Genomic DNA, 17,628 nt, shown 5'->3' with positions numbered 1-17,628 from the left:
ACTCTTTACCTCAGGTGGTCTGCCCACCTTGGCCTTCCAAAGTGTGTGAGCCACACTTTGGAATTACAGGTGTGAGCCACCTGAACAACTCTTTTAAATAGTTATTTATTCGTTCATTCATTCATTCATTCATTCTTGGTAAAGGCAAAGAGCAAAGATGACATGGCATTTGGTCAGGAGGCACTGACCCCTGCTGAAGGAGGATGTCTTAGGGTCTGCTGACAGTCACGGGCTAGGAGTGTGAGCAGTAGCTCTTTGCAGTAGGTGACCTTGAAGGACCTGGCCTCAGGTAGACATATAGATTTTTGCAGTGTTCCTCACTGAAACACTGCAGCTGTAAAGAGGTAGATTTAATCAAGCCAAATACTACTATACAAATAATGTTCCCTTTTTCATCCCTTCCTTTTAATGTCTCCAGATTTTTCTTTAAAAGTTAGGTTTTAACTCTGTTACTTATGAGTCCTCTACATTACAGTTAGTTGTTTGTGTGGCAGTTTCCCATTCTAGCCCAAGTTTCTTGAGAAAGGCCGTATTTTATTTTTCTTTACATATCTATCCCATAGCCCAGCTTCTGTGTGTGGCAGATGCTTCATAAACGTTTTTAAGGAATGACTGTTATGTTCCATTTGGATATATCCTGTGCTTGACGTAAAGTTCAGTGTCTTCCTAAAGTTTGCTACTGATTTCTAAATGTAGGATTTTATTTGGTCATTTTGTTTTCCAGAGTCCCTGTGAAGCAGGAAGAGTGAGGGCAGGTTCACTGCAGCTCAGCAGCATGTCTGCAGGGAATTCATCTTTGAGAAGGACAAAGCGAAAAGCACCTTCCCCACCCTCCAAAATACCCCCGCATCAAAGTGATGAAAATAGTCGTGTGACTGGTAATGTGGTTGTTTCATTAACATTACATTTGTATTGTGTTTTGTTTAATATGGACAGTAGGAAAGATATGGGTATGTAAGTTATGCTTTTTAAATAATACTTAGGCTTTTTAAATACATCTTGATTAGTCTCACTTTGCTGCCGTTTAAAAATCTGAAACATCACCAAATAAAGTGTCAAAATTATACAGCTCCATTATCCTAAGATGAGCATGTCATAATCTGTGAATTTATTCAGAAAGATGCTGCCATTTCAGGATTAGCTGTATGTAGAAAAGGGAGTCTAAGTGGATTTTAGTGTTTTACAGCTAGATAGTAAAATGGCTTCTAGCAAGGCTTACTGCTTTCTGAACTATATAACTAAGTTAAACTGTTAAGGAATTGTTTTATTTGTGAATATGACTTTATAAGTTGTGTTGCTTCTTTCCTTTAGCCTTACAGCCAGTAGATGGAGTTCCTCCAGACAGTGCTTCAGAAGCAAACTCTCCTGAGGAGCTATCCAGCCCAGGTATGACACCCTTATTCTACATGGTGTAATTACTGAAAAAGGACGTCCATGATAATTGAGAAATGAGTCCATTTGCGATGCTTTGTACATGAAAGAGATACAGATTCTTTGGCCTCATTTCCCAAATTTTTATTATGAAATAAATTCTTGCCCCCACCCCTCTGCCCCTCAACCCAATTAGAGTATGAAGCTGGCAGAGATCAAAATTTCAGTTCTGGAATTGTCCTTGAGTACTTTTTCTATGTGGTCTCCTGCTTTCCTTTATGCAGTATCAGGTTAACATTTATTAACCTCCTTCCCAAGTGTAATGACACACCGTAATTAGGAATGTACCTTGGTGTGTGCAGAAGAAAACTTACAGGAAAGTGTAAGCACAATTTCTTGATGCAACTGTTCTAGGTATGAACTCAACATACAAGTTACCCTACTCTAATGGTAAAAATCTGTTACCATGAAAATGTTTTCTGTTGCAGTATATGGCTCTCCTCTAGGATTCTTTCCAAACAAAATTCCATTACAAGTTACATAATTTATAGTAATACTTTTCCAGTGTTTTTAATAATAGCTACTTAGTAGCTTTTCTAAGAAGTATGATAAAAATGTTTTAATCTTTAGAGTTACTATTAGACATCAATGAATGTGATAGACTAGTAATATCATACCAAAAATAGAATATGATTATGCTAGGACTTTATCATGGGGATAATTCTGTAAGTATAAAAAATGCTTAATATGACTCGCCTGATTTTTATAATTTATATTCCAAATACAGGAAACATTTAGGAGGAACACTCTTGAATCTTTCATCTTTAAGTGGTATTTAAGAATTTGGAATTTTAGCATATATATGTAAGAATTCTTCACTCCTCTGTGATTTTAAATCTTACTCTCAGATAACTAGTAATGATTTTTCTCAGCTTTTACTCAGAATAATATAAATGGCACCATTTTTTTCCACAAAGGAAATGTATTGAATAATAACAATTACAACTGTTGAGTGAAATTAGAAGTCACTGAAATATTATAAAAAGGAGTGCATGCTATTCAAACTTTGCTTCATATCTGTTTTTCTTCATTTGTTTTTTTCCTTTTACCTCTTCTTATTTAATGCATGGATAATTGTGAGCTAACAAATCTGATTTCTTCCAAAATGCTTCTTGGTCTCTGCTTGCCTTAACTCTGTTGTCTAAGTGCCATTTCTACAGATTCTACTTCTTTGGCAGAAACCTTTCACCCTGGGCTTTCCAGTCAGGAGCAGTGCACTGCGCCCAAACTGATGGAGGAAACCTCTGTCTTTGAGTGCCCTGGGACACCTGAGGCAGCCATAACATCATTGACATGTAGGTGGTCAGGCCTTTCCTGGCTGGTGCTTTGTGTCAGGCAGGTTAAGATATCATCGACTGTAAATTTGATGAGCTATTGAAACCTTGTGTAAACATATTTTATAAAGAAAGAGAAGTTTCCCCTTTTTCACTTGAAATTTTATCTGGGTGTAGAGTTTGTTGTTTTTCCCAACCATACAGATGAATACAACAGAGTGGATTAGTTAAATAAAATCAGTGGTTCCGAAGAATTTTAGCTTCTCTTCTATTTGGCTTATATATACTGAGGGGTCACTTTGAAAACACAATTGAGGCTGGGCATGGTGGCTCACACTTAAAATACCAGCTACTCATGAGGCTGAGGTGGAAGATTGCTTGAGCCCTGAATTTTGAGACAGCAGTGAGCTATGATCATGCCACTGAACTCCAGCCTGGGTGACAAAGCAAGACCTTATAATAAAAATTAAAAAACACATTTGTATCTAAACCATCATGGCCTTTCATTTTTTTTCAATACAGAGTTTTCAAATTATTATTATTATTATTTTTTTTTTTTTTTTTTTGAGGAGTCTCACTGTTGCCCAGGCTGGAGTGCAGTGGCGTGATCTCGGCTCACTGCAAGCTCCACCTCCTGGGTTCACGCCATTCTCCCGCCTCAGCTTGCTGAGTAGCTGGGACTACAGGCGCCCGCCACCACACCTGGCTAATTTTTTTGTATTTTTAGTAGAGACGGGGTTTCACTATGTTGGCCAGGATGGTCTCGATCTCCTGACCTTGTGATCCGCCCTCCTCAGCCTCCCAAAGTGCTGGGATTACAGGCGTGAGCCACCACGCCCAGCCTAGAGTTTTCAAATTATATAAATACGTTCTTAACACATAGATACAATATGCTATCGTAGACACATTATTTCTATTTCACATCATAATAAAGCATCATTTGCCAAAATATGTACATTTGAATATTCACTTAAACCTAAATTTTAAAATATTTTTTATTGAGTAATCTATTTTTATTAATGATAAAAATACCATTAAAATTTCTCATGTTTATTTCTCAAAGAGCACAAATAGCACACTTTTCTGTCTGTATACTTAGAGATAAAATTTTAAAAATATATTTTAAGTACTTTAAATATTGAATTATGTTAAAAATTTAAATTAAATTTTCTGAATGTGCTGATTACTATAATTGGATGCTACACCACCTCCCCACCCCGCCCCCCCCTCCCACCACATCCCCAGCCTTGGGATAAAATTAAATTTCATTCAGATACTGTGGTGTATATGGAAATGTTTAATTATATTTAGCAAAAATCCAGAACCTCACTCTGGCTTACATTTACTTCCATGGCTAATCTTGACAATAAGCATGAACATTAACTGCTCAGGATGCCTCCTTCTCTTTTACCCTGCTGGCTACTGGTTGTTGGTGATAAAATACATTTTTTTTATACAGTGAAATGTTAACCACAGCTATTGAAAATATTTATGTGTAAACATATATATTAATATGGATGATATTTAAGATATTGTAAGTGGAAAAAAAGCTAGGTGGCTACAGTATGCTTCCATTTATATTAAATAAACTAACAAAAGGAAACGTGAGTATGGTTATCAGCCTATGTATGTATATTACACTTTCTCAGGACATACAGGAAAAACTGTTAAAGCAAGTTGCCTCTGAGAATCAAACTGGTTAGGAATAAAACTTAATTTTCATTGTCCAATACTTGCTCTATTTGTATTTTCACAAATTAAGCATCTAGGTCAGTGGCTTTTAACTGAGGTTGCATAGTAGAATCATCTAAGTAGTCTTAAAAATCCCTTGCCCCACCCTTCAGAGATTCTGATTTTGTGGAGTAGGGTGTGAGCCTCAATATTTTTAAAGGGGGCTCAGGTAATTCTCAAGTATAGTTGGTACTAATAACTATTGAGTCAAATTTTATGAGTGCCCTTGTAGACAATACAAAAATCTCATGTGCTTTTCATTTTCACTTTTAAAATTATTAATTTGCCTTTAATTTGCACTATTGAGTTGCTGGATGAGTGTAAAAACCATTCAATTGTAAGACATTTCTTAAATGAAATATTTAACTTAAAGTTTATGAGATTAAATAACCTCTTGTCTCTACCATGAATAAAACCTAGAGTGATAGCAAATTGTTTTGGGAATTATGAGTCTGAGATAATCTGGTTTTATGTTAACGTGACTGCTCACCAGGAGAAAGAACTTCACTATTATTTTTGAGGCAGAATTTAAAAGAGTCCAGCTAATTATTATTTTTCAAAATTCCTTCCTTGCCAGAATTGCATGTGATGAATGAGGCAAATTAATATTTAGGATTATATCTGCATTTCTTTGTAGCTGGAATAAGCTCTGATTATAGCCTTGAAGAGATAGATGAAAAGGAAGAACTGAGTGAAGTGCCTAAAGTTGAAGCTGAAAATATTTCTCCGAAGTCACAAGATATTCCTTTTGTATCTACTGATATAATAAATACACTGAAAAATGATCCTGACTCAGCCCTTGGCAATGGTAGTGGAGAGTTCTCACAAAACTCCATGGAAGAAAAACAAGAAACTAAAAGCACAGATGGACAGTAAGTAGTCTCTGTGCTGGAGTGTTGGTGGCCGTTAGTTTAATTAATACTAGTCTTCTGAAATATAGATCTGATATTTTAAACATAAATATAGTCAGCCCTTTGGTTTTGACTTTATCCTTTTTACCATTATATAAGAATGTTTATTAATGAAGTACTTATTTGCATGTAATTACATTCAAAGAAAATCAAATGTGACAGTTCTAATATCCCTGTGTCAGATAAACCATGAGAAATAGTTTGTGTGATTCAAAAATGAAAATTTTTCTTTTTGTGGGTGTTTTGCCTGTTAACCTATGTGACCTATATGTAATATTTAATTTTCAATTTTTACCAAGTATTCCTGGTGGATTTTCACTGGTATATGAAAACAATTATGCATATTAGAATATGATGTTAAATCACGAGTATTATCTTTGCAGTCAACTTTATGAAACAGAGAATGTACTTTCTGCTTTATTCTAGAAACAGACAGCTATAGTCTAGTCCACTTAGGTTTGAAATGCAACAACATGGATAAAGATGAAATCAACCAAGCAAAATAAACCATATATGTCAGACGTTTATTATAATTTGCATGAGATTGTCTCCTTATTAAACTATTCTACCACCAAAGGGAAAAAAAGATCAGTGAGGTCAATCTACATTCTTATTTATATAGTTGACCTTGCCAGATGAAAAACTAAAATGTTTCATTTAATTTCCTTTTTCTTTAAAAGGCAAATAAATGATAATAGCAAAATAAAGCCACTATTTTGGAAAAGTGTCTATTTTACCAAGCTTCTTTCTTTTTAATGGGACCACCACATGAAAGCTAATGTTTCATAGCAGCATTTCTTCTCAGTTATATTTTTTCTCTGCTATTAAATTTCCGATGTTTGGCAGAAATAAATGATTATTTTAGTCCATCTGTCTTTGGAAATTATTGCCTGTTTCTCATTGTGTGTGTGTGTGTCTGTGTGTGTGTGTATGTGTGTGTTTCAATAGTATCAACATATAACATACAATGTCGTATCTTCCAGAGAACCACACAGTGTAGTATATGATACAAGCAATGGAAAGAAGGTAGTTGACAGTATAAGAAACTTGAAGTCGTTGGGCCCAAACCAAGAGAATGGTGAGTTATATAAATTAATAGCCAACACTTTCTTACTTTTATTATGTGCCAAGGACAGTTCTTAACACTTTATATGTATTAACTCATTTAATCTCCTGTAACTCACTTAATACCTACCTCATTTATGGATATTATGGGTACTATTATTTTTAGTTCCATTTTACAGATGATTGTGCCACAGAGATATTAAATAACTCACCTGAGGTCTCACAACTACTACGGTAAGTGGTGAACCTAGGATTTAAACTGGGGCAATATTGCTCTAGAGTGTGCCCTTAACTACCATGTGTACTACTTTTGTTGTTAAAACATAGAAATTATCTAATTTAGACTTTGGATCTTAAAAATGTTTCTTCTGTGTATCTATTTGCGATCTGTTTCTCTTTTTTTCCATCTAACTTCCTTGGATGAAACTTTTCTGCCTGATTTTTCAAGGCCCAAATCATCTAATAATATAACCTTATTTACCACTGTTTCCCAGTTCCCATCCTCATATTAGCACAACTTATTTTTTCTCATGATGTCATTTGCTTATTTCTATATCATAAGGCATATATTCATGTTGTCTTTGTCTGAAAGACAATTTTTCATCTATTTTACCCATTCAATTTTTATCCAAATCATATCATTTCATGTTTTTACTTGATTATTAGAAGCTTTGCGGTTCTATATTTATGATTCCTCAACTGAATTAGGCAGTCTTGGATCAGATAAATTACATGTGATACTTTGCACTACTCATGGCACCTAACAGAATCCTGAGATACTCATAAAATATGTACTTAGTATTGAATTTCAGAAAAACAATCCTATGCAAATAGAAAATTCAAAAAATACTCAATGGTGTTTTAAGGGGTTAAGAAGGAAGTGGCTTATGAATTCTCATAGTCCAATCTATTATGTTAATCTAGAAAACTAGGTTAAGATATTTAGAAAACTTAGGATGTAGTATTCATATTTGAATAAGACATAGATAATCGCAATGTCATACTTATATATATAATTATATATATATATAATTGTATGTGTGTGGTATGTGTTCATTAACTTGATTATGTGTGCTACTGATTCATTTTCTCCCACATTCAATACCATTGTGAGATATCATACTGAGAAGGTCTAAAAGCAAATAATTTTTTCATTCTTTTCCACTTGAGTCAGTTTTTCACAGCATGTACTGTGATGGCAATAGCATTCCTATTGAGAAATTATGATTTAAAAGCTGCTTCTTTCTCTTTAAAACAATAGTCAAGTTGTATCATTTTTGTTAAGACTTTTGTTGTCAAGTTAGTGCCAGAGTCACAAGTACATTTACGTAGTACTTTGATTTGCATATGGTTTGTTTTGCTACGACTTTTGTCAACTCTAGTTGTTTTTTAAAGTAAATAATGTCTATTATTCTTAAAGTAGTTTTATTCTGTTTTCCTTTTTACCTACCCTTATCTAAATCACCTTCTTGTAAGTTTGTCAATGTCAGTGTCACTTTTGAGTAGAGGGTCACTATAGTATAAAAGATACCTTCTCCCTCTACTGGCCATTCTTGGAAAATGATCTAGCCATTTATAAACACTTGGTTAACATCATTGTCAGTTGTATATGAGGATGGATTCTGGGTTTCCAGGACTGCCAATCACTGGAAATGATCATGAAATGTTGAGAAGAAATTCAGAGTTAGACAATGGTAAAGTAGGTGTAACCTACCAAAAATATGAAAAAGAGAGACTTATAATTCTAAAACCAATAAATTAGGGTTTTTAAACGGGGATTCAATTTAAAATATATGTTTACATTGACTTTCTTTCTTTTGGAAAATATTTCTGGGAAATACATATACTCAGTGGAAAATTAGAAATAAGAAAGAAAGAAGGAAATACATTTAGACTCATTTCCTGCTGCCAGAGATTGTTTCTTAAATTCTTTCATGCTTATAACTGTTCAAAATAGTGTTTTTCATATGAACATTGAAAAATACTTATGAACCAAGTAAATTGAGAGCAGAGGCAGAAATGTGCCTCTTCTATGGTTCCTAAGAACATGGGTCTTTAATTTTGTAAATCAAAATAGTTAATAATAATTGGTCATTGAGAAAAGAATTCACCTAAGTAGATGGTACGTATTCTGATACTCAGTTGCATTTTATCTGGGAAGAATAAAAATGAGTTCCATTTTAAAATTACATGTTTAATATAGGAATCTTGCAACACAATATAGAATATTAACTGCCACAACCAAATAACTGTGCAATCAGGCAGAGTTTAAAAATGTGAAGATATGTTTTTAAATTGTATACAAATTTACCTAACATGATATTTTTCTGCATGCATATCTTTTTTCTTTTTCTTTTTTTAAGAGAGAAACTATATAATATAGCTTATTACATTTTAGGCAGTGTACTTCATCTCATTCTTATAGGTAATAGTGGGTAATGATAAAACTATAGAGAAATAACTTGACATAATTTCACAGTTTGACCCCCAAGGCTCACATTTAACTTGTGCTGTGCAAACTATTGCCATATGTGAAAAGGCCACTAGGGTTTTGAAGATAAGCACAGTGATGGTGCAGGAAGCATGATTCTTCAGGGCATTTGAATAGAGGAGCAGAGGAATGACTTAATTCGGTACTGGGCACATGGTGCAGACTCCAAACCCTGTTTCCTTCCACATGCCTCCTGCCAGTGCTTTGCCATCATGTTGTTGACTGGAAGCTGTTGCTCTGTTAACCTAGACACTGGCAAATGAGTTTTGTTTTCAGGAGGTCTGAATTAGAATCAAGAGGAAAAGTAGTGCAAGGGAGAGGAAGGTTATTTTCTCTACTTTGATTTTGACTCTGACTGTAGAATAAGGATGCCTATTTCCAACAGAGAAAAATCAAAACCATTATGACTGATTTCATGTCATTGAAATCACCCATGTTATAACTAAAAATAAAGTCCTCTAACAGCCTTCAGCAAAGATACCTAGTTAACAAGACAATCAACTGAGATTCTGTTTTTACTATAAATCTTAATGTTTTCTGTTAAGGCCTTCATTAAAACTGCATTTGCTGGGATTCTTTTCCTTTTAATGTTAGGTATGAAAATATAAATATGCTAGGGGCTATAGAAAAGACAGTCAAAATAGAGGAAAAATACAGTTTTTGAATTTGTCAATTTCTATTTTTTGTCATGAACAATGACTGAATGACATCTTCTAAGAAGTAAAAACTTTATTTACCTTCTATGGAGTGTTTATTCTGGTCAATATACTAATGAGCATGCTATCTAAATGATACACATATAATATAAATATTTTCACCTTTTTATGTCTGAGCAAACTGAGGCTCAAAGGGGTTAATTAACATGTTGTGGCCACACTAGTTAAGCCAGGGATTCCAAACTTCAGTCTGTATGAATCCAAAGCACGTACTGTTTTCTCTGTATGCTACTACCTACCTTTATATAGTCAGTGAGTTGAAAATTATCTGTAGAATTCAAACCAAACTATTTCAGGTTGGAGAAAGTAGGCATTAAAAACTTGAGGTTTTCTACTTCTTTCATATATTTAACTTGATGATTTTTTTCTCTCAGTAGTTCAAAATGAAATAATTGTCTATCCAGAGAACACAGAAGACAATATGAAAAATGGAGTGAAGAAAACAGAAATCAATGTAGAAGGTGTTGCCAAAAATAACAACATTGATATGGAAGTTGAGAGACCATCAAACTCTGAGGCACATGAAACTGATACTGCTATAAGTTACAAGGAAAACCATCTAGCAGCTTCATCAGTACCAGATCAAAAACTGAATCAACCCAGTGCAGAAAAGACAAAAGATGCAGCAATTCAGACAACCCCTTCTTGTAACAGTTTTGATGGGAAACACCAAGATCATAATTTATCTGACTCCAAAGTTGAAGAATGTGTGCAAACTTCAAATAACAACATATCAACTCAACACTCATGCTTAAGTTCACAAGATTCTGTAAATACCTCAAGGGAATTCAGGAGTCAAGGCACCCTAATTATACATTCAGAAGATCCGCTTACCGTAAAAGATCCAATTTGTGCACATGGTAATGATGATCTTTTGCCTCCTGTAGATAGGATTGACAAAAATTCCACTGCTTCTTACCTAAAGAATTACCCACTTTATAGACAGGACTACAATCCCAAGCCAAAACCTTCAAATGAAATTACACGAGAGTATATACCCAAAATTGGCATGACTACTTATAAAATAGTGCCTCCCAAATCCTTGGAAATATCGAAAGACTGGCAATCAGAAACCATAGAGTATAAAGATGATCAGGACATGCATGCTTTAGGGAAAAAGCACACTCATGAGAATGTGAAAGAAACTGCCATCCAAACAGAAGATTCTGCTATTTCTGAAAGCCCAGAAGAGCCACTGCCAAACCTTAAACCGAAGCCTAACCTGAGAACAGAGCATCAAGTGCCCAGTTCTGTGAGCTCACCTGATGATGCCATGGTTAGTCCTCTGAAACCTGCTCCCAAAATGACAAGAGACACTGGCACAGCTCCTTTTGCACCAAATTTGGAAGAAATAAACAATATTTTGGAATCAAAATTTAAATCTCGGGCTTCAAATGCCCAGGCCAAACCCAGCTCTTTTTTTTTGCAGATGCAGAAGAGAGTATCGGGTCACTATGTGACATCTGCAGCTGCCAAGAGTGTCCATGCTGCCCCTAATCCTGCTCCAAAAGAACTGACAAATAAAGAGGCAGAAAGGGATATGCTGCCTTCTCCGGAGCAGACTCTTTCTCCCTTAAGTAAAATGCCTCACTCTGTTCCACAACCCCTTGTTGAAAAAACTGATGATGATGTCATCGGTCAGGCTCCTGCTGAAGCCTCCCCTCCTCCCATAGCTCCAAAACCTGTGACAATTCCTGCTAGTCAGGTATCCACACAAAATCTGAAGACTTTGAAAACTTTTGGTGCCCCACGACCATACTCAAGTTCTGGTCCTTCACCGTTTGCTCTTGCTGTAGTGAAAAGGTCACAGTCTTTCAGTAAAGAGCGCACCGAGTCACCTAGTGCCAGTGCATTGGTCCAACCTCCAGCCAACACAGAGGAAGGGAAGACTCATTCTGTAAATAAATTTGTGGACATCCCACAGCTTGGTGTGTCTGATAAGGTAACTGTAGCCTTTTTAAAAATAAGTATTCAAATTTAATGACATGGTTTAATGGGGGTTAACAAGCATGTTGATGTTTGTGTGCTACTTAACTCTGAACTCATATTCATCTGAAATTAAGCTATTGTAGTGAAGAGAGTGGTGATACATAAAATCTGATTATTTGCTCACAATTATAACTTATATAACTTGTTTAGGTATTACTGTAAGGTCATCATTATATAATTGTGTCATTAGCAAATGTTTTAAAGTTTCTTTGCTCATTTGTATGATATATTTACTAGTTAATGGTTCTATTTTCCTGTGTTATCTTAATTTGTTTTTAACTTGTCTAAATCTTCTGGTTTATTCTCCAATTTTACATTACTATGTAATAGTAAAGGAAATAGTCTTAATGAAATGGAAAAATAATAGTATGAGAGGCTAGACAAAATAACTGAGCATCTCTTAGCTATGTGATTTCCATCATATACACTCAACTTCAGCTTGCATATATTGTACATTTTCACATATAAATACATTGAAAGCAGAGTTTTAAAATGTAATTTTCTTAATTCCCCATTTTGTTAATTCAGTGTCAACTTTCAACTATAATATGTATGTTGACCAAACTGTTATCTAACCACTATCTAACCTTAAATATTTACCATAAAGGAATGTTGTTGACTTAGTGTTTGGTCAACTAAATGTTGTATTTTGCTAGCTTCAGATAATAGAGTCAAAGGAGAAGATGAAATTCACAGCATGATTTATGATAATCCTCATGCAATTTTAAAGAAATACTTTGTGTACTCTTACTCTGATAGTGTTTAAAGAATACATTCATATTTGTGTGACAGTTCCAGAAGTATTTAATATTACTTTTTCAAACATTCCTAGAGCAAAAGAATGTTAACCATATTGCCAAGTAAATATTTTTCCATAATTGTATAACAACATTTATCTTAATATTTTTCATGTATTTTACATTTATGTTTATTACTTTGATATAGCATCAGGAATAGAAGTATGATACAAAGATTAATTCTTTACTTGGGCACAAAGCCTGTGATTTTTCTTGGAATAGAATACCATTCCTAAACAATGGAAGCTTGGTTTAGATAATAAAGCTTTTAAGTCATTGCCTGAGCCCTGTTTGGCTCATTTTTTGGTAAAGATACGTATTTGGCAGTTTGAAAAAGACATTTAAGATTACTTGATAACATATGCCACTTACATCAGTTACTAAATATTCCTTCCTGAGAAGCGTAATTAAATTTTTTAGTCTTCAGTTTGGAAGTTCCTAATTTTTTATATTGATTCTCATGGCAAAAAATAAAACATGATTAGCACTTAGTCCATGTGACTTCCAGAAACACAAAATAAGCTACTAAGTGTAGCATAGTAATTAGTATTCCTTTATTAGAAGATATATTAGATTCAACAAATATGACATTGTCTATTTGACTGTTTTGCTCATTTAAAAATAGTAATTTCATAGCCTGGTATGTTGAAACCATGAAAATGGGTCATTTTTTAGTTTGCAGTATTTTTTAAAATCTTAATTTGGCTTTTCTAACCAGTTCTGTGTATTGGTGAAGTCAGCAGTATTTAACTCAAGAACAATAAAATTACCACTGTATTTATGAAGCAAAGAGTGGTACCACTTTTCTTCTTTGGCTTCCTGAGTTCAAGAGAGAATAATGCCCTCATCTTCCAGCTTAGCTCTGGCAGCAGAGATAATTCAGTGGGTGAGGAAACAGAGCTGTGTCTGAAACACCAGTGTGGCAAATGGTGATTGTTAAAGAACTATTGATGATGAAAATGTTTTGCAAAAAATGGCCCATTCTTTTCTTGGCATTCATATAAATATTTCACATTTATTTTTGTAGGAAAATAACTCTGCACATAATGAACAGAATTCCCAAATACCAACTCCAACTGATGGCCCATCATTCACTGTTATGAGACAAAGTTCTTTAACATTCCAAAGCTCTGACCCAGAACAGATGCGACAGAGTTTGCTGACTGCAATCCGTTCGGGAGAGGCTGCTGCCAAATTGAAAAGGGTAAGTCTTCTTTATCAGATGGGTGACAGTGGGTTTATTGTCACCATTGTCAAACTAATACTTAGGGAAAAATTTTTCTAGCATGTAAATCTAAATAGGGTTCCCAAAGTTACTCTTCTGTGTCTTTGAAGTATAAGCTGAAAGAGTTCCAGAGTCTTACACGTACTTGAAAAATATGTCAGGTCTATTTTCCACAACATGGGCCAGTTGCAGAACATGAATTTTGTTCATTCTTACATAACTATATAGAGAATACCCTGGACTCTGATTTTAAGAGATTATGTTAGCACCTCGAGAAAGACTCTTTGGAAAACACCTTCCTGTTCCAAAAAAGGTACATTAGTGATAGGAACCTACAAGTTTGTAGTCATAGCTCTTGCCATGATTAGTTACTAACATATATGAGGCTTAGGGAAGAGTTTTATAGGTTAAACCAAAAAAAAGTGCAGAATATCTAGAGAATGTAGATGATAGATAATACAGAAATTCAAATCTTAGTAATGTCCTGCCAAAGTTGTCTAGCTCCTCCTTACTGTGGGGTAGAAGAAGAAAAAAAGAGGAAGTCTGCTTTTTCTCAGGAAAAACACCCAAGTGTCACAGGGAATTCTTTTCAGGTGAATTTCCTCCTTGGGTTCCCTTCATCCACTGAGAAGAAGATGTGGTGAAGCTTTGAACAAGGCATCAGCACTTAGACTCCCCAGAGAGAGTCCTCTCCCTAAACCTCTCTTGTCTTCTCCCCTTAATTCTCCTGGTTGGAAGCACCTCCGCATCTAAGACAAGGAAAGTACTTATTATTCCATTAACTCCCGAGGCATTTCATTTTGTGAATTCCTTCTGTGATCATTTTAAAAGCCATTTAGAGAATAGTAAGAGACTTGTTGAGCAAAACATTGAGCTCAACAGAAATTAAACCTGCAAAGGAACAGGAATGCTACAAAGATAGGAAAAGAAATGGGGAAAGGCTTTCCGGGCCTTTCAACCATATCAACATTGGCCAAACTTGACTGCATAAGCCAACTTCCTTGGTGTGTATGTGAGGAGGTATGAGTGACAGCCATTCCTCCCAGAGGACTTGGCACCCTGTCTGGGCAAACATGGAGACAAGGCAGAATACTGGGTGCTGTCAGGAGTGGAGGAAACAGGAGGGAATACTACAGTGGATTAGATTTGAATTTTGTAAATTATTTGTAGAGTCTGATTTTAGGTGCCAGGCAGCATAACAATTTGGTATAGCTTTTAATATTGAAATTGGTTTTTCATCGGTCATGACAAATTTATATTTTTAGAGGAGGATAAATGCCCTTGTTAATAAATTACACAACCTCACGAAAAGTTTTCTTTTTCTGATCTTGTAAATTAAGGATGAGTTTCAAACCAAGCACTACTGGTTTCTCAGTTCAATAAATTTCGCAAGCACTTTTAAAGCACATAAGTAACAAATATTGTACTAGATACTGAGAACATGAAAATGAATAAAATGAAGCCTCTGTCTTCTGTGCATTCACAGCCTGGTCCTGAGATACAGTGGTATATCAGGCCCATGGGAGAACCAAGTTACTACACAGAAACTGATTGCGATGCCTTTATACTAGGTCAGTGAAGATATTCATCAGTTTCAATGAACTAATTGCAGAAAACTGCATTAAGTTGGAAATGCCTTTTAGGCCAACAGAATTATACAGGCCAGCAGCTATATACTTGGTGTGTTATGGACCCTGACTTGGCAGTCCTTTCACACAGAAAACTCTCATTGCTTCTAGAATGAGCTGAATATGAATCAACATAAAAAGCGGGCAATAAATGATTATCCTATAATTGTTTCCTGTTTAAAACTAATTACTTTAGGTTCTATTGAATCTAAAATTTTCTCTTTCAGTGGAACCTTATTGATAGCTCTGAGCATAGTGCCAGATTCTAATTTTTTTAAAATAAAAATCTCATCTATAATCCATCTCATTTCACTAAAAATGGACATAGTATCTAGTAAAGTTCACAATATACAAACTTCATGACGAGCATTTTTCACTTCTAGTTACGTACCCTAAAAATGTTGTTATTGTGTACCAGGACTCTCACACATAAGAATGTTCAGGGAATATTATTTGTAAAAACTCCAAATAAATATAACCCTAATATCCAATTAGTAGAATTAATAGCAGTATATTCAAAGAATGGACTGTCATATAGCCATCAAATGGACAAAATATAGTAAAATGCAACAATGTGCACAAAAATACACAGATATATATGCATAAAGTTTGACAGCATACAAAACTAATTTACATTATTTAGTGATGCATGCATAAGTGGCAGTTATTTTTAAAAGCAAGGAAGTAATTACAAAACTTATGATAGCGCTTACTTCCAGAGGGAAAAAAGGAGGGGTTGGTGAGGGCTTATTGATGTAGGCCATGCACACAATTTAAGGGGGAATCAAAAAGCTAAGTAATCCAGATAAATGTTATTTATTGTAATGCAATAAAAATATTCAAAATAAGGCTAAAATCTATGCTGAAGAAAATACCACAATTTTAAAAGAAGATTAATAGGGAACGTGGAGGTATTTTTTCTCTTGACATGAGTGGTGCATTGTATGCACATTTGTTTTTCACTGGGCTGCGTATTTACATTTAGTGAATTTTTCTATACATATATTCTATTTCAAAAAATTGCAAAAGGAAGTAAAAATGGACACAGGCAGGCTCTTAATTTCTTGTGATCTTTGCTTAAGTCTTATGTTTCTGTTCTGTACTGAAAATTTCTTCTAGTTTCTTTTAAATTCTAACATTTGTTTTATAGAACAACAATTATATTGCCAAATAAAATCTCCAGTGATTTTGATAGTAGGTTTAGATTGTTCATCAGAAAGTTGGCTCTGTGTTTCTCTATATCTTGGCACCCAAATGTTCAATTTAACTCCAGGTACCCACTTGTCTTATGGCTCTGGTTCATACGCAGGCAATTAACCTTCATTATAATGGTTGGTTCACAATAGAACAATTATCTAGTTGATTGCTCTAGTGTAAATGTAGTCATAAATATGCCATGTTTTTTTTCATGTTTCAGAAGGGATTTTTTGCATACCTTACCCCTACTCAACCCACATGTAGTCACAGAGATTAGTCTTTTCTTCAAGTAAAGCATTAATAAATCAAGCTCAGTATGTTATAAATTGTGTGATGTTAAGGTTTATTAATCAGCAAATTATTTACAAAGAGTAAGACAGATTAATTCATTACCCTTGGCCTGTGTTGACATAAGAACAACTTTGGCTTTCAGTACTTGATGGTCTCTGATTTACTAAAAATCAAGTTATTACCCTATTACAAGTAAGGTCTGAAAATAGTGAATGATATTGATATTTATCACTATGTATTAAGTGTTTTTCAAATGTAAGATTTATCTTTGGTTCAACAGAAGGTGGAGGGAAGGAAAAAACTGGGTAAGTCACACAGAATCTTGCTGGCTTGTATTGTTTATTTAATTAGTTTTTTTAATTCATATTTCCTTAGTTTAAATTTGAACAACCAAAGAGTTTCAGGTTGGCAGCGATTTCTACATTTTTAAAGTAAATGTAAATGATAGAAATTGTTATAGTTGCATTCCTTATGGAAAAAAGAAAGCTATGTGAAATTCCTAAAAATGCTTTAAACTTCAAGAGTAGACAATCAACTAGTAGATATTCACATCAGTAAATTCTTAAATGCTGTTTTTTTAAGTATCTGTATTATAAGTGTAATATGTTCCTCATTCAAAAACATTCAAGTGATACCTTCTTGTTTATGAATGTTTGTAAAAAGTTACCATATTCCATTTAAGAAATATTTATTGAGCACTACACTGTCCCAGGCACTAAAATAAATATAAAGTAGTTATAAACTGGCATTAAAATCAGTAAGATCTCTGCCCTCAGAATGCGTAAACTAGTATTCTATTGATGGCTTCTTGTGTTTAAAAGTTTAGTAAACAAGTTTTTAAATAATAAAGCAGATGTCATTTCTCTTCAAAAATAACCATTC

At 34.3% G+C, this 17,628-nt stretch overlaps 1 protein-coding gene across 10 annotated transcripts in view; it reads left to right on the top strand.

Annotated features, from left to right (window-relative positions):
- COBLL1 (cordon-bleu WH2 repeat protein like 1) overlaps positions 1-17,628 on the top strand; it is a 184,146-nt gene that overhangs the window by 136,247 nt on the left and 30,271 nt on the right. For 7 of the 10 annotated variants that reach the window (NM_001365671.1, NM_001278460.2, NM_001365673.2 and 4 more), the window contains 6 exons: positions 725-878; positions 1,312-1,386; positions 5,074-5,308; positions 6,331-6,425; positions 9,994-11,561; positions 13,433-13,609. In NM_001365671.1, coding sequence (NP_001352600.1) covers positions 725-878; positions 1,312-1,386; positions 5,074-5,308; positions 6,331-6,425; positions 9,994-11,561; positions 13,433-13,609 — 2,304 coding nt within the window. Of the gene's footprint in view, positions 1-724; positions 879-1,311; positions 1,387-2,609; positions 2,727-5,073; positions 5,309-6,330; positions 6,426-9,993; positions 11,562-13,432; positions 13,610-17,628 lie in introns of all 10 variants that reach the window. The other 3 variants (NM_001278458.2, NM_014900.5, NM_001365670.2) reach the window with 3 other exon arrangements.

The sequence above is a fragment of the Homo sapiens genome, chromosome 2 (assembly GCF_000001405.40).
Source record: "Homo sapiens chromosome 2, GRCh38.p14 Primary Assembly".
In the NCBI taxonomy this organism is placed as follows: Eukaryota; Metazoa; Chordata; class Mammalia; order Primates; family Hominidae; genus Homo; species Homo sapiens.
The sequence above is the reverse complement of the archived record's forward strand: the minus strand, read 5'-3'. Positions and strand labels throughout refer to the sequence as shown.